Raw genomic sequence first — 14,398 nt, 5'->3', positions numbered from 1 at the left:
GATGAACATTTTAATATCTTACTTATTTTTCTAAGTGAAGACTAAGGAGAGAAACAATACAAATTACCCCTTCCTTTGAGGGAAGTATAGGAGGATTTGTTAAACCTGCATGTTTCCATAAAAATCTGGACTTCTAGACCCCTTACCAAATGGTGCCATAATTACATATGCCTGTCTTCCCTGATAGCTGTGAATGAAGGTAGCCAATAGGAACTGTATTTTGTATATCTTTTACTCACCTAAGTACTCAGCATCATACATAAGAAGTGATAGGCAGTTGGTATATATTTATTGAACAAATGGATGTTTGTTCAAAGTGCTCTTAGCACTTTTGAGAGGGGGAAAAACACTTGAACAGAAATTATGTGGACTGAGTTTAAAGTCTAGTACCATTATTGACCACACAATATTGTGGGTTTTGTCCATTTCTAAAGGAGAGTCAATATATTTCCCTAATCAGGAAGGGCAGATTGCAAAAACGCAAGTGGATGCTATCATTTCCAAACTTGTACCAGGCAAATAAGTAACTTCTCCCTTAAATACTTGTAGATGAGAAAAAGTTAAATTCCAGGAAAACTCAATCTCAGAATATACCTATCCACCAAGAAGACCTGTCCAGGAGAGTTCACTGAAAGGCTATTGTATCTAGTGGTTCCCTAGCAGCTCAGAGTTATAGTAGGAAAGGGAAACATTTTCCTCAACTTCTTAGAAAAGGTTTCACAATTAATAAATAGTAACAACCACGACTATGTGCTGGACATTATTCTAAGTGCTTTACACATGCTGACTCATTGGACCTATGAAATAGGCAGCATTTCCTGCATTTTTCAGATGAGGAAATGGGATCACATCATGGGGCTGGAATCCAGGCAGTGTGGCTCTAATACGGATTTCATTTCTCACCTGCCGATAGGTAAGGCATTGCGGATGATCCTCTGGCTGCCTCGGGTATATTCAATATCCACTGTAATAGGGGCAGAGTATGTCATGTCTCTCAAACGGCACTGAAAGAGAATCAGGAATCTGACAGTTACTGCTCCTCTCTGCAACAGGGTCCTGACCACTTCAAAGTGCTCCTTCTGTAGTAGAATTATGGTCCACATTGAACTTTAATCCCTTTTTCTCCAAAGAATGTCCCCCCCCATCCCATTTTTAAATGATCTTTTAAGAGTATATATTAAGGGCAGACTCTGAGTTAAAGCAAACAAGTCCAATTAAAGTAAGGTTCATAATTACCTCATGAGGGGACACTGGTCTAGTTACATTGAAGCTTTCTTCAACATCAGGAAGCCCAACATAGATATTAAGATATCTGAAAAGCAAATTAGTGCGGTATGAATTATACTTCTTCGAAGATCATAAAAGCAAACAAGCTATTTTCCTTCCAAATACAAAGATTATGTTTTGATAAATGCTTATCTTGGTAAGGATGACAAATTAAATATTAAAATTGGAGATCTTCTTGAAGTGATAGTACATATAGCTTTACAAAGGAGGGAAATATTATCAAAGTATCTTTTAAAAAATATTACAAATCTCTTTACAAAAATACTGGAAATACAGCTCCCTAAAAATGATACTTAATGAAAGAGCAAAGTGTAAAGAGTACTGATGATATGCTATCATTTGCAAAAGAAAGAAGAGGCCATAAAGGCAAAAACAAACAAAACAAAAAAACAAACAAAAAAAAAACGCTCATTTGTGCAAAAGAAGGATGAAAAGGATAAAGCGGAAACTAATGAGATTGGTTACCTATGGAGAGTGGCTGGGAACAGGGTGGAAAGAACTGGAAGTGGAACAACTATTTTCTGAATATACTTTTTTGTGCAAGTCTAACTCTTAAACCATAATAATGTCTCACATACTGAAAAAATAAAGAAAAGAACTAATGTAAGTAACCCTGGGAGACAATATTTTGATTGGACATTGAGAGGCTAAAGATAAAAACGACAGTGCACAAATCCTACACTCTAGTAAATTTTATCTCTCAGAGGTATGAGTTAATAATTCTGAAACTTTATTTATAGTCTAGGATTGAAAAATTTTTTTTTAAATTTTGCAGATAATGGGAGCCAGATTTCTCATTATTGGGATAAAAGTTAAATAAGGAAAGGGAAAAGGTTAGAATGAGTCCTGCAGTGTCGAACTGAAATTGGAGGTATCAGTCTGCATGGTTTTTAATATATGTAAAAATGGATAGGATAAAGAAATACAGATGTGTCTGCACATATGTGTTCGTATACATACACATATTTCTGAGCTCTACCTGCTGAAATCTTAGTGTCCATGTCTTGGAATCTAAATACTATTTTCCAATAAAAGGGAGACTCTAGGGCTCCTTGGATTCCCAATCTGGGATGGGGGCATACCAGATGAACCATATCTTACGGTCCAAGAAAGCAAAGGAGTGCTCAAAAAATAATGGTGGCATCTTGAAAGGACACCAGAGTCAATCTGAAGGGTCTCCCTATGGTCAAAGCTGAAACAGTCTGAACAACAGAAAAATGACAGGACTGGATATATATATATGATAGTACTCATAGAATAAAATAAAACATCCATGAGTCCAAATTGATATAAATTAATATAGAGAGATATGTGAGGGGAAAAGGAAACTATTCTGTACAGAATTCCAGTATCACTGCAGAAGGAATGATAGAAATAAAGGTTCACCATTAGATAAGCCCACAATAATAACTGTTATAGGTAAGAATCATCAATGTATGCTAAAACTGTTGGTGAAATTATGATGAGAAACGGTATTTGCATAGTCTCAAAGAATGTCCCTATAAGATACTTATTAATTACAAAAGGAAAAATAGTAACCTTTCAGTGGAGAAATCTGGAAGATCCTACCTTAATCAAGTGAACAAAGTTAAAATCATTAGTAATAAAATATATTGGCATCTGTAACCCCAATACGAATCAGTGAGAACAGCATAAAACATTGCTTCTGTGGTATTCTTGCCAAAAATGTATAACCCAATCAGACGTCATACAAACTCAAATTAAAGGAACTTCTACAAATACTGACTAGATTGTTCAAAAGTGTCAATGTCATGAAAGACCAAGAAAGATTGAGGAGACTAAGGATACAAGACAACTAAACATAACACGGAGCTCTGGATTGATTCCTACACCAGAAAAAGGACATTTGTGAGAAAACATCAAATAAGGTCTACAGATTAGTAGACAACATCGTATCTGTGCTAACTTCCTGGTTTTGATCATTGTGCTATGGTTATGTAAGATGTTAATATCAGTGAAGGCTTGGTGAAAAATATTGAAGAATTCTTTGTACTACTTTTGCAATTTTTCTTTTAAGCTTAACATTATTTCAAAATAAAAATTTAAATATTTAAAACCTAATAGTTTCAAAATTTTCCCAACCATAGCTCATTATAATTTGCCAGTTAAAAATTTAATTTGAGCACTTTATAGTTAATAAAAGACAATGATTTATTTTTTCATTTTTTATTTTTTTGAGTCAGAGTCTCACTCTGCTGTAAAAGATAGAGTGCAGTGGCACAATCTCAGCTCACTGAAATCTCCCCGTCCCAGATTCAAGCGATTCTCCTGCCTCAGCCTCCTGAGTATCTGGAATTACAGATGTGCACCACCACGCCTGGCTAATTTTGTATTTTTAGTAGAGACAGGGTTTCACCATGTTGGCCAGGCTGGTCTCGAACTCTTGACCCCAGGTGATTTGCCCACCTCGGCCTCCCAAAGTGCTTGGTATTACAGGCATAAGCCACCGAGCCTGGCCAAGACAATGATTTTAAAAGAGTTTTGATAGCAACTTCACTCACTTTAAAAAATGTTAGATGTAACCCACATAGCAAATTAAGAATGTTGGTTCCTTACTTTAAGTACCACATAGGGTCAGCGTCACTTGTAACCTTTTCATTGGCTTTCATTATCTTCTTTATCTGCAGTGGAAAATGCAACATTAGCAAAGACTCTGGCTTCCAATTAATCCTTAGTTTATGTCTATTTCTAACATCTGATGCTTACCTCTACATTAATGAAATAGTTAAATGAATCTATATGCTGTTTCACAAGGCCTTTCACCTAAACAGATAGAAAGAGAAAGTAAACAGGTTAGCAAAAGTGCAAAGAGTACTGATGATATGCTCAAATAATAGATCATATAATGGAATCTAATAATAGGTGAACATCAAATTTTTATCAAAATCAAAATGAGAAAAATAATCCATGAATTTTATTTAATAAATCTTTTCATTAATGCATTCTCATTCCATTTCTGCATCGTCTTACTAGCATATCCTCGAGAGTTTTCCTCCTTGAGAAGCAATCTGACTCTCGGAAATCAAAATATGAGTACATGAATATATGGTCATGTGCCACATAACAACATTTCATTCAACTACAGACCACATATCTGACAGCAGTCCCATAAGATTATAATGGAGCTGAAAAATTCCTATCGCCTAATGACTTACAACTTGATTTGATTTCATAGAGTGTATTTCTGAAAAGAATGACCCCTCCTCAAGAAGAGCCTCCGGCAGGTCCTTCAGCAAGTATTCTAGAAGAAGGTATTGTTATCATAGAAGATGACAGCTCCATGTGTGTTACTGTCCATGAAGACCCTCCAGTGGGACAAGGCATGGAGATGGAAGACAGTGATATTGATGATTCTGGCCCGGGCTAATGTGTGTATTTGTATCTTAGTTTTTAACAAAAAAAAAATTTTTTTTTTTTTTTGAGACAGAGTCTCGCTCTATTGCCCAGGCTGGAGTACAGTGGTGCGATCTCGGCTCACTGCAACGTCCGCCTCCCTGCATCAAGCAGTTCAGGTGCCTCAGCCTTCTGAGTAGCTGGGATTACAGGTGCCCGCCACCATGCCCAGCTAATTTTTGTATTTTTAGTAGAAACGGGGTTACACCATGTTGGCCAGGCTAGTCGGTCTCAAACTCCCAACCTCAAATGATCCGCCTGTCTTGGCCTCCCAAAGTGCTGGGATTACAAGCGTGAGCCACTGTGCCCAGCACCCAGCACCTTCTTCTCCATTTATGTGCAGCTCCTTTTAAAAAATAACAAAAAGGCCAGGCAAGGTGTCACATTCCTACAGTCACAGCTACTCGGGAGGCAGAGGCAGGAGAATCACTCAAACTCAGGAGTTCAAATCCAGCCTGGGCAATGTAGCAAGACCTGGTCTCTTAGGGGGAAAAAGAAACTTCTTGACCTTACGACCATTTTATTTGATTCTTGGTCACTCCCCAACTTAGAAACTCCTCAATAGCTTCCTACGGCTTTTAGAAGAAAAGCCAAATCCTTAACACGGCTTTCAAATCTGATCAGGAAACTGGCCCTGACAACTCCCAGCCTCGTTTCCCAGCACTCTCCCCTCTGCCCATAACACGCAACTGAACTCTAGAGTAGAGTCCAAAATGAGTAGAGACAAAACTCTACTCATTTTTCTTTTTTTGAGACGGAATCTCACACTGTCGACCAGGCTGCAGTGCAGTGGCGCGATCTCGGCTCACTGCAACCTCTGCCTCCCAGGTTCAAGCTATTCTCCTGCCTTATCCTCCCAAGTAGCTGGGATTACAGGGGCCCGCCACCACACCCAGCTAATTTTTTGTATCTTTAGTAGAGACGAGGTTTCACTATGTTGGCCAGGGTGGTCTCAAACTCCTGACCTCGTGATCCGCCCACCTCAGCCTCCCCAGGTGCTGGGATTACAGGCGTGAGCCACCGCGCCCGGCCTCATTTTTCAAGTCTCCATTCTTTCACTTAGCACAATGCTTTCAAGATTCGTCCATGTTGCAGCGGGTACCTGCTTTCTTTTTATTGCCAAATAATACTCTGTTGCACAGATACATCCCATTTTGTGTATCCATCCAGCAGCTGATGGCCATTTGGGTTGTTTCCACTCTTGGCTATTATGAATAATACTGCTATGAGCATTTGTGTACAGGTTTCTGCATGGACACATGTTTTCATGTCTCTTGGACAGATATCTAGGAGTGGAATTGCTGGAGGATGTGGTAACTTTTTGTTTAACCATTTGAGAAACTGACAGCCTGTTTTCCAAAGTGGCTATAACACTTTACGTTCCCACCAGTGGAGCATGATAGTTCCCATTCCTCCACACCCTTATTAACATTTGATTTTGATTATAGCTATCCTAGCGGGTGCCAAGTGGTCTCTCACTGTGGTACTCATTACTTCTTAGCATAAGCTCTTGGAAATTGAATTGAAGCCCGACACCACATCATATCATATTCAGCAGCTCCTCTTGACTGGTCGCTATTTCCTGCAGACTCTGTGGAGGCTCCTCTTGAACACCTTGATTGAGCCACGCTCTCTGCACCCAGCTTTCAGGCTTAAACCTTCTTCTCTTAAGATGTGGTTTATGTCTCACTTCATTTGGGTGGCCCTCTCTGACCATTGCTCTTTTGCTGATAGCACTTTGGTTTTTAATCATGTGCCATGCTACTGTGCATGTACTACTACTTCTCTCTAAAATTAGACTACCACTCTCCAAACCAGCACCTTTCAGGCAGGGATTTTACCTTATAATTCCTTGTATTTCCAAACACAGCTATACAAAATCAAAAAATGTTGATGACAAAAATTTAATCTTTAAAAAATGGCTTATTTCTTGACTTTTTCATCTGAAAAATAACCAATTATTATTAAATGTGAAACAATTACCTTTAAAAATGCTGGAAGCAGCCTCCATTTTTCCTGTGAGCCAAAACAAGAAGAATATCAGAACTCTGTACCAGCAACAGTACTTTCATAAGTTATTTTAATGTTCCAAAATAAGCAAAGGAAAGTAAATCAAAACAAAAAGAATAATTTTTAAACATTTTTATGGAAATCACATGTGTGCATATGCATATAAATATGTATACACATACATACATACACTACAGGTTTCCTAAACAGAATATAACTTAATCTCTTCCTGATGACTCAAGATTTTAAGCACTTTTCAATCCTTTATTTTATTCTCATGACACTTCCTAAGTGAAGTTTGCCAGTTTGAGAAAAGGAAAATAAGGCTCAGAGAGTCTGGTGGGAGAGCTGGGTCTCAAGACCCAAAGGGAGTTCTTTCTCCCTCCCATTCTCTCTCAACTACTGTCTGGTCAGAGCTCATCTCAGGGCTACAGAAGGATGACACATATGGTGATTGCTTCCTACATTGCCTGAGCAACTAGAGGGATAGAGTTAAAATTGATGGAGGCGAGGAACATTGTAGGAATAGCAGGTTTAGGTGTGGAGGGGCTACTAGAAATTTGGTTTGGGTGTGTTAAGCTTGAGATCTCCATTAGACATTCAGGTGGAAATGTCAAGGAGGCAACAAATGAGTCTTGAATTCGGGAATGGAGTGGCCTGGAGATATAAACTAGGAAGAGATTAACAAGTGGATGGCAATTAAAGGCACGTGATGGATGAGATCACCTATGGAATGTAGATGGAGAAGAGTTCCACAAAGTGAGACCAACCAAGAATAATCCAACAATCAGAGAGGAGGAGCAGGAGGCAGCTCCAGCAAAGGAGACCGAGGAGTGGCCAGGGAAGGTGGCAGACCCCTGGGTATAGTCAAAAACAAGAGAGGCAGGCAAAGCTAATCTATGATGACGGAAATCAAAAGGTGCTTGGGGGGATAGACTGAAAAGGGTCATAAGGGAACTTTCTGGGGTGATGCAATGTCCACATAGAGCACATAACTATAAAACCAATGTAACTGAATATCTAGTATCCATACATTTTATTATATAAATTACACCTAAATTTAAAAATAGAAGAATGACAATGATATAGGTTGAATTGTGTCCCTCTCAAAATTCATATGCTAAAGTCCTAATCCCCAGTATCTCAGAATGTGACTGTTTTTGAAGATGGGGTCTTGACAAAGGTGATTAAGTAAAATGAGTCATTAAGGTGAGCCCTAATCCAATACAACTGGTGTCCTTATAAAAAAGGAGAAATTGGACATAGAGATGCACACAGGGACAATGCCATGTGAAGATGAAGGTAGAGGTCTCAGTGAAGCTTCTGCAAGCCAAGGGATGCCAAAGATTGCCAGCAAACACCTGTAGTAGGGGACGGCCCAGAGCAGATCCTCTCTCATAGCCCTCAGAAGGAGCCAGCTCTGTTGTCACCCTGATCTCAGACTTCTAACTTCCAGAACTATGAGAAAACAAATTTCTGTTGTTTAAGCCACCTAGTTTGTGGTTACTTTGTTACGGCAGCCCTATGAGCTAATACTCCCACATCTTCAAATTCCTCTCTCTACACCCCTTCTTATACTCGTTTCCTCCCACTTCAAAGGAAGGACCATCCATTCCTTGGTCTAAGGCTAACCCTTCCGCCACAGACACAATCCTGCCAACCTTCTCCTGAAGACTGGAAACCTTGCCCCAGTTCAGTCCTTGATATTCAACCTGTTCTATTTAAAACGAGTATTCAAATCCTCCCATTAAAAAAAAAATTTAAAACTTTCTTGACTCAGCAGCTCCTCTGACTACTTTCTTCCCTGCCCTTCAGCTTACGATCTCTCCCAAATTACTCCATATTTAGCTTCTCTGTTCCTCACTTCCCACTCCTTCATTCCGTTATAGTCAGGACTCTGACCTACCTGCCAGTGAAAGAGCTCGACAGAGGTCACCAAGGCTGCTACTTCAAAAGACCTCCCTTGATGCCCCCTCACATTCCCTTTCCACAGTATTTGGCCATGCCGATCACTGTCTTATAACACTCTGTGGTATCATTCTCTTATGTCTTTCCTTCCTCCGGCCGGGCCTTGTCACACCTCTTTTTCTCTGCCACCCTGCAAATTTTGGTGTTCTTCAAAGTTCTATCCCTGGCGATGTCTTTTCTCAAGTAGGGCTGGGAATGGAGGATTTCAAACAACACTGTTTGAAAGTGTTGTTTAGCTTCCCCCATCTCATCCCACAGCCCCCCAGTTCCAAATGTGGGCTCTTTCAAGGGCAGTGACCCTGTCTATCCTGTTACCACAGTGCCTGGCACATAAAAGACTCCAATAAATACTGAATAAATAAATGAGTGAGTGAATATCACTGTTGCAGTAAGCTACTGGGTATGGGCCTGTCCCCTCCAACTATTGACTGGGCAGTGATACCTTACAGCCTCAGAGGCTACTTAAGATCAGTATGTCCAAAATTAAATCTTCCCCCAGCTCCATTCTCAATCTCAATGAATATCACCATTTATCCCAGTCAATCCCAAATTAGATACCCGGGAGTCCTAACTTTCTGACTCTTCTTAATCAACAGGAAAACAAAAATTCTACTGAGTCGACCTCCTTTTAACCTTCCTCGCATTTATCCTCTGCTCCTGTGCCAGTTGAGGCCCTCATAATCTTTCAGCTGGTCTGCGGCAATACTTCCTTACTACTCTTCCTGCTCGTCCCTTTCAATGCTCAGCACTAAAGCCAGTGTACATGTCCTCATGTGCACAGCTGAGCACCTCATTCTCTACAACTCTTCAGTGCCTCCCCACCCTCTTCACCATGTCTTAACTCCACAGCGAGGCATACATCATATGCTGTGCTTGCAGCTGTACTTGTGCCTACGCCTCCTCCTTCTATCTGGAATGCTTCCGCACCACCACACTTCATCCACATCTGGCAAACTCAGTTCAGGCATCACATCCTAGCTACCATTTGTAATACCAAAATACCCCTCGCCTACTTGTATCACAGTACCTATTGCATGTTATTCCACTTGCTTACACGTCTCTCTCTATAAGCCTATAACACACTGGGAGGCAGAAAACACATTTTTTGAACTTGTATAAACCCTGTGAATAATACACCACCAGGTAAGTACTCAGTAACACTGACAAATATTTATTCAACAAGTAACTGATTAATTGGCTCCAAAGCTTGTGTTGTTTCTACCATACTACCATGCTGCTGTGCTACCATAAGCACAAAAAAATACACACCAGGCATGGCCAGTTCAAGTAAAACTGAGCTCCTAACTAGAAAAAGTTGCAGCGAAAACACTGAAGTTGGAAAGTTTAAGTAAATATTTTAATATCTCAATTTAAAAGGAAATGGCAGCAAGTAGCAGAGATCTACCATCTTCTGGGAGAATCAGGAAAGGCCTTCCTAGGGAAGTTATATTATAGATATGTGGGATTTAATCTACAAATAGGAAGGGGAGAGCGATCCAGAAGAAACTGAGCAGAGTAGAAAGATCTCAGGGGAGGGAGAGGGGGGAACCATGGGAAAAGAGACTAGAGAAGTAAGCACTGGTCAGACTGAGGAAATTTATTACAAACATGGTAAACACTAGATTTTGCCCTAAGAGCAATAGGCAGAGATTGAAGAACTTTAACCAAGGGAGCAACATAACCATGTTTGTGTGTTTAAACGGACAGCTCTGGCTGCAGAGCAAGGAACAGACTGGATTGGGACAAGTCAGGTGCCAGGTAGGCCAGTTAGGAAGTAAGAGAGGACAGTCGTTCTGGGCTGGAAAACGGTGGGAATGAAGTTTCAGATATGCATAGATTAAGAACTCAGGACTTTTTAGAGGTGATGGTGGATTGGATACAGAGTGCAGGAAGAGGAACTGTTATTCTTCAATCAGAAGGCTGGAATTATAGCACTGTTCACTTCATAGCTGTGTAAATTCAGATAAGAAATAGAAATCTCCCAGGCTTATTTCTTCAGCTCTCTGGAGAAGCGGTCCGATAGCAGTTAGGGATGAAGACTCGAGTCAGACTGACAAGAGTCCAAATTCCAGATTAGCCACTACCAGGCTTCTAATGCAAGGCTATTTACTTAACATCTTTGGGCCTCTCTGGCAAAATGGGGGTGAAAATAGTACTTATTTCAGAGGATTAAATAACATAATGCATGTTATGGTTAAACAGAACCTGGCACATTAGCAAGTGCTCAGTGAATGCTGGCTCTTTGATATTCACTTTTCACGGTTAAAATACAGTTTTGCAGCCGGGCACGGTGGCTCACGCTTGTAATCCCAGCACGTTGGGAGGCCGAGGCGGTGGATCACGAGGTCAGGAGTTCGAGACCAGCATGGCCAACACAGTGAAACCCCGTCTCTACTAAAAATACAAAAATTAGCTGGCGGTGATGGTGGGCGCCTGTAATCCCAGCTACTTGGGAGGCTGAGGCAGGAGAATTGCTTGAACCCGGGAGGCAGAGGTTGCAGTCAGCCGAGATTACACCACTGCACTCCAGCCTGGGCGACAGAGCTAGACTCCGTCTCAAAAAAAAAAAAAAAAAATAGTTTTGCCTGATGATCAGCAGCCTATTGCATGCACTTATAGACTGAATCTGTTGGAACTGCTAATTCAACTTCCTTAACTTGTCAAACTATTATAAAGAGGTTTTGTTTTGTTTTCCTTGAGACAAGGTCTCAGTCACCCAGGCTGGAGTGCAGCAGCACAATTACGGCTCACTGCAGCCTCGACCTTCCAGGCTCAAGTGATCCTTCCACCTCAGCCTCCTGAGTTGCTGGGACAAGTGCACGCCACCACACCCAGCTAATTTTTGTATTATTTGTAGAAACAGGGTTTTGCCATGTCGCCCAAGCTGTTCTCAAACTCTTGAGCCCAAGTGATCCGCCCGCCTTGGCCTCCCAAACTACTGGTATTACAGGCCACCACGCCTAGCCAAGGAGGTTCTTATAATCCGATAGACTTACTGATCATGTCACTTTCCTGCTTAAACCCTTCAAAAGCTCTGCTCCAAGACAAAGTCCAAGCTCTGTCAGATGTTTATTGAAACTTTTCATAATCAAGACCCTTACTTAACCCTGTCTTTTATCTCTTCTCCTCTATTTTTCTTCACTCTAATACTACTGGATTTACTTTCCTTCCTCAAAAACATCCAATGGTCTTGCCGAGGAGGTTTCAAGTATCCTGTTCTCTTTCCCTGAAATCTCTCCTTTGCTATCTTCTCCGGCCACGTCTCCACTTCCCTATTCCACGTCAGTGTAGATTTTGAGGCTCAGAGAGATTACAAAATGTGCCTTATCAGATAACAAAATATGTCGACAGCCGCACTTCACTGGGCAGCTCGCTGTGGGGCAGCTGTCCTTAACTTCCGAGAAGCTGATGAAAGCTGTGGAGTCTCTCCCCCAGAAAACACACAGGCAAATTCTTTAGTAAATATTGAGGGCGTTTAAAATTCCCCTGCAACCCAAACTGGAACTTCAAGTTAAAAGGAAAGATGACTAGCTTGGAATTCAGACGATCTGGTTTTACCCCCACAGCCGGCTGTGGTGCCTCATGCAAATGGCCTGAGCTCCCTGGCCCCGTGTCCTCTGTAAGACTGCAAACATGCAATACGTCCCCCACAGTAAGTGCGAGGGTCAGTCCTCCCCACGCACACCTATGCTGGAAGAGCTCCAACCCTAGAGCCAGCAGCGGGGCTTCTCGGCCCCCGCAGCGGCTGACAGCTCCTCTGGGATCAGCCTTCACTCGCGCACGCGGAGGCCGGCTCTGGAAAAAAGACTCGCAAGCGCGACGCTCTGGGCATGCGCAGAAGCCCGGCGCATGCGCACAAACCGCCAGCCCGCCCCCTTGGCGGCCCGAGCACTCCGGGCAACGCCCCCTCAGGGCGCATCCTTGTCCCTGACGCTCCCTGCGTGCCTGGCACTGACCTCTACAGTCGGGATCGGCGCCGCCAGCTGCTCCGGAGTCAGGTTCCCAAACTCCTCCGCTAGCACGTCCATGCTGCTCACGAAGGAGGAAGAAACAGATAGAACCTCCGCGCCCGCCTTCCCTGCACCAAGCAAACTGCAAGACTCCCGGCGAACGGTGCGCGGAGGCCTAAACTGTCCCCGCCGTGCGTGTTAGCTAGAGACGCGGTAGAAAGGTTCCGCCCGCTCCCTGCCCGAATCTGCGGTGGAACCCGGATGTGGCCGAGGCCGAGTAAGGAAAGTACGCCCTCTGGTGTAGCTCGGAGGTCTGGCGCAGGGAATCCTAAGCCCCAGCTGTCAGGTTTCTTGCCAATTCTCTGGTAATTGAGACCAGCAAAACATAGTGGTTGTCATTTTAAAAGTAATCCGAAGAAAAGTGTAAACGCATAATTTACGCAACTTGAACCACTGAGGCAGAGAATTATTTAATGTAGTCCAAAATTCTATGCATTGTTTAGTATGGAAGAGCAGGAAACGTCCCAAATGCCTACCAATAGAAGATTGATTAAATAAATGATGGTACATGCGTGTAATGGAAGAGTGTTGAAAATTCTCAAAAGCACTAGATGGAAGATGTAGGAGTAAATACCCAGCGCATGGAGAAATTTAATATGAAAAGATGACATTTACGTTAGTAGGGGAAGGATGGCCTGTCCAGTAAATAATGTTTGAAGAGCTGATTACCCATTTGGGGAAAAAATACATGTAAGTGAATCTTTTGTGGATTAAATATTGAAATGTTAACAAAAACTTAGAAGAAAATGTAAGTGCAGATATTCATAACATTGAGATGTTGAAGACTTTCAAGACGGCAACAGTCAAATCATAAAGGATTTTATAATCTAAACACGATTTTATGATTCCACGGAAAATTTTTAATTTTCTGAACAGATTTTAAAAAATCACCAACAAATAGAATTAATAAAAAATAAATTGGCAGAAGACAAAGGGCTGGTCTCTCTAATTTAAAATGAGCTCATACAAATCAACAGAAAGAAAAATCCTATTAGAAAAAACAAGGCAAAATGCACCAATTAATTAATGGGTACGGAGTTTCGGTTTGGGAAGATGCAAAAGTTCTGTAAATGGAGAATGGTGATGGTTGCACAACAGTGTGAATGTATTTAATGCTGCTGACCTGTACATCATTTTAAAGGGTTAAAATGCTAAGTTTTATGTATATTTTACAACGATAAGAAAAGTTATGAAAATTTGTAAGTACATATATGCTTTCCAATTTCTCCCTCATAAAGGTAGAACCCTTGCACCAGGTTAATTATTCTTATTTACTAAAGAGCTACTTAAATTTCAGTACTTGTATTTTCTTTTTTTTTTTTTTTTTTTTTTTTTTTGAGACGGAGTCTCGCTCTGTCGCCCAGGTGGGACTGCGGACTGCAGTGGCGCAATCTCGGCTCACTGCAAGCTCCGCTTCCCGGGTTCACGCCATTCTCCTGCCTCAGCCTCCCGAGTAGCTGGGATTACAGGCGTGAGCCACCGCGCCCGGCCGTATTTTCTAAGTATTGCACTGATATCTGAAATACGAGAAGAATGGAAAAAACACCAAAAGTAGAATCAACCCTGCCTTTGAAGTTCTTACAATTTACTTATTACAGAGACAAGATACAACTTGTGTCTCATCATTGTGCATTACCAGATTGCAACCAATTTAGCATCTAGCCTAGAAGGGACTGTGAAAGTGATTTATAGATGGCAGAGGATCTCAA

At 41.5% G+C, this 14,398-nt stretch overlaps 1 protein-coding gene across 3 annotated transcripts in view; it reads right to left on the bottom strand.

Annotated features, from left to right (window-relative positions):
• Positions 1–12,839, bottom strand: part of POLR3B (RNA polymerase III subunit B) — a 152,451-nt gene extending 139,612 nt beyond the window's left edge. For 2 of the 3 annotated variants that reach the window (NM_018082.6, XM_017019621.3), the window contains exons 1-6: positions 12,636–12,839; positions 6,685–6,717; positions 4,015–4,071; positions 3,865–3,929; positions 1,237–1,312; positions 904–1,004 (exon numbers count right to left, since the gene is read on the bottom strand). In NM_018082.6, the coding sequence (NP_060552.4) occupies positions 904–1,004; positions 1,237–1,312; positions 3,865–3,929; positions 4,015–4,071; positions 6,685–6,717; positions 12,636–12,707 (404 nt within the window). In that variant the 5' untranslated portion in view covers positions 12,708–12,839. Of the gene's footprint in view, positions 1–903; positions 1,005–1,236; positions 1,313–3,864; positions 3,930–4,014; positions 4,072–6,684; positions 6,718–12,364; positions 12,478–12,635 lie in introns of those variants that run through there. The other variant, NM_001160708.2, reaches the window with a different exon arrangement.

This window comes from Homo sapiens, chromosome 12 (genome assembly GCF_000001405.40).
Source record: "Homo sapiens chromosome 12, GRCh38.p14 Primary Assembly".
NCBI classification, from domain to species: Eukaryota; Metazoa; Chordata; class Mammalia; order Primates; family Hominidae; genus Homo; species Homo sapiens.
The sequence above is the reverse complement of the archived record's forward strand: the minus strand, read 5'-3'. Positions and strand labels throughout refer to the sequence as shown.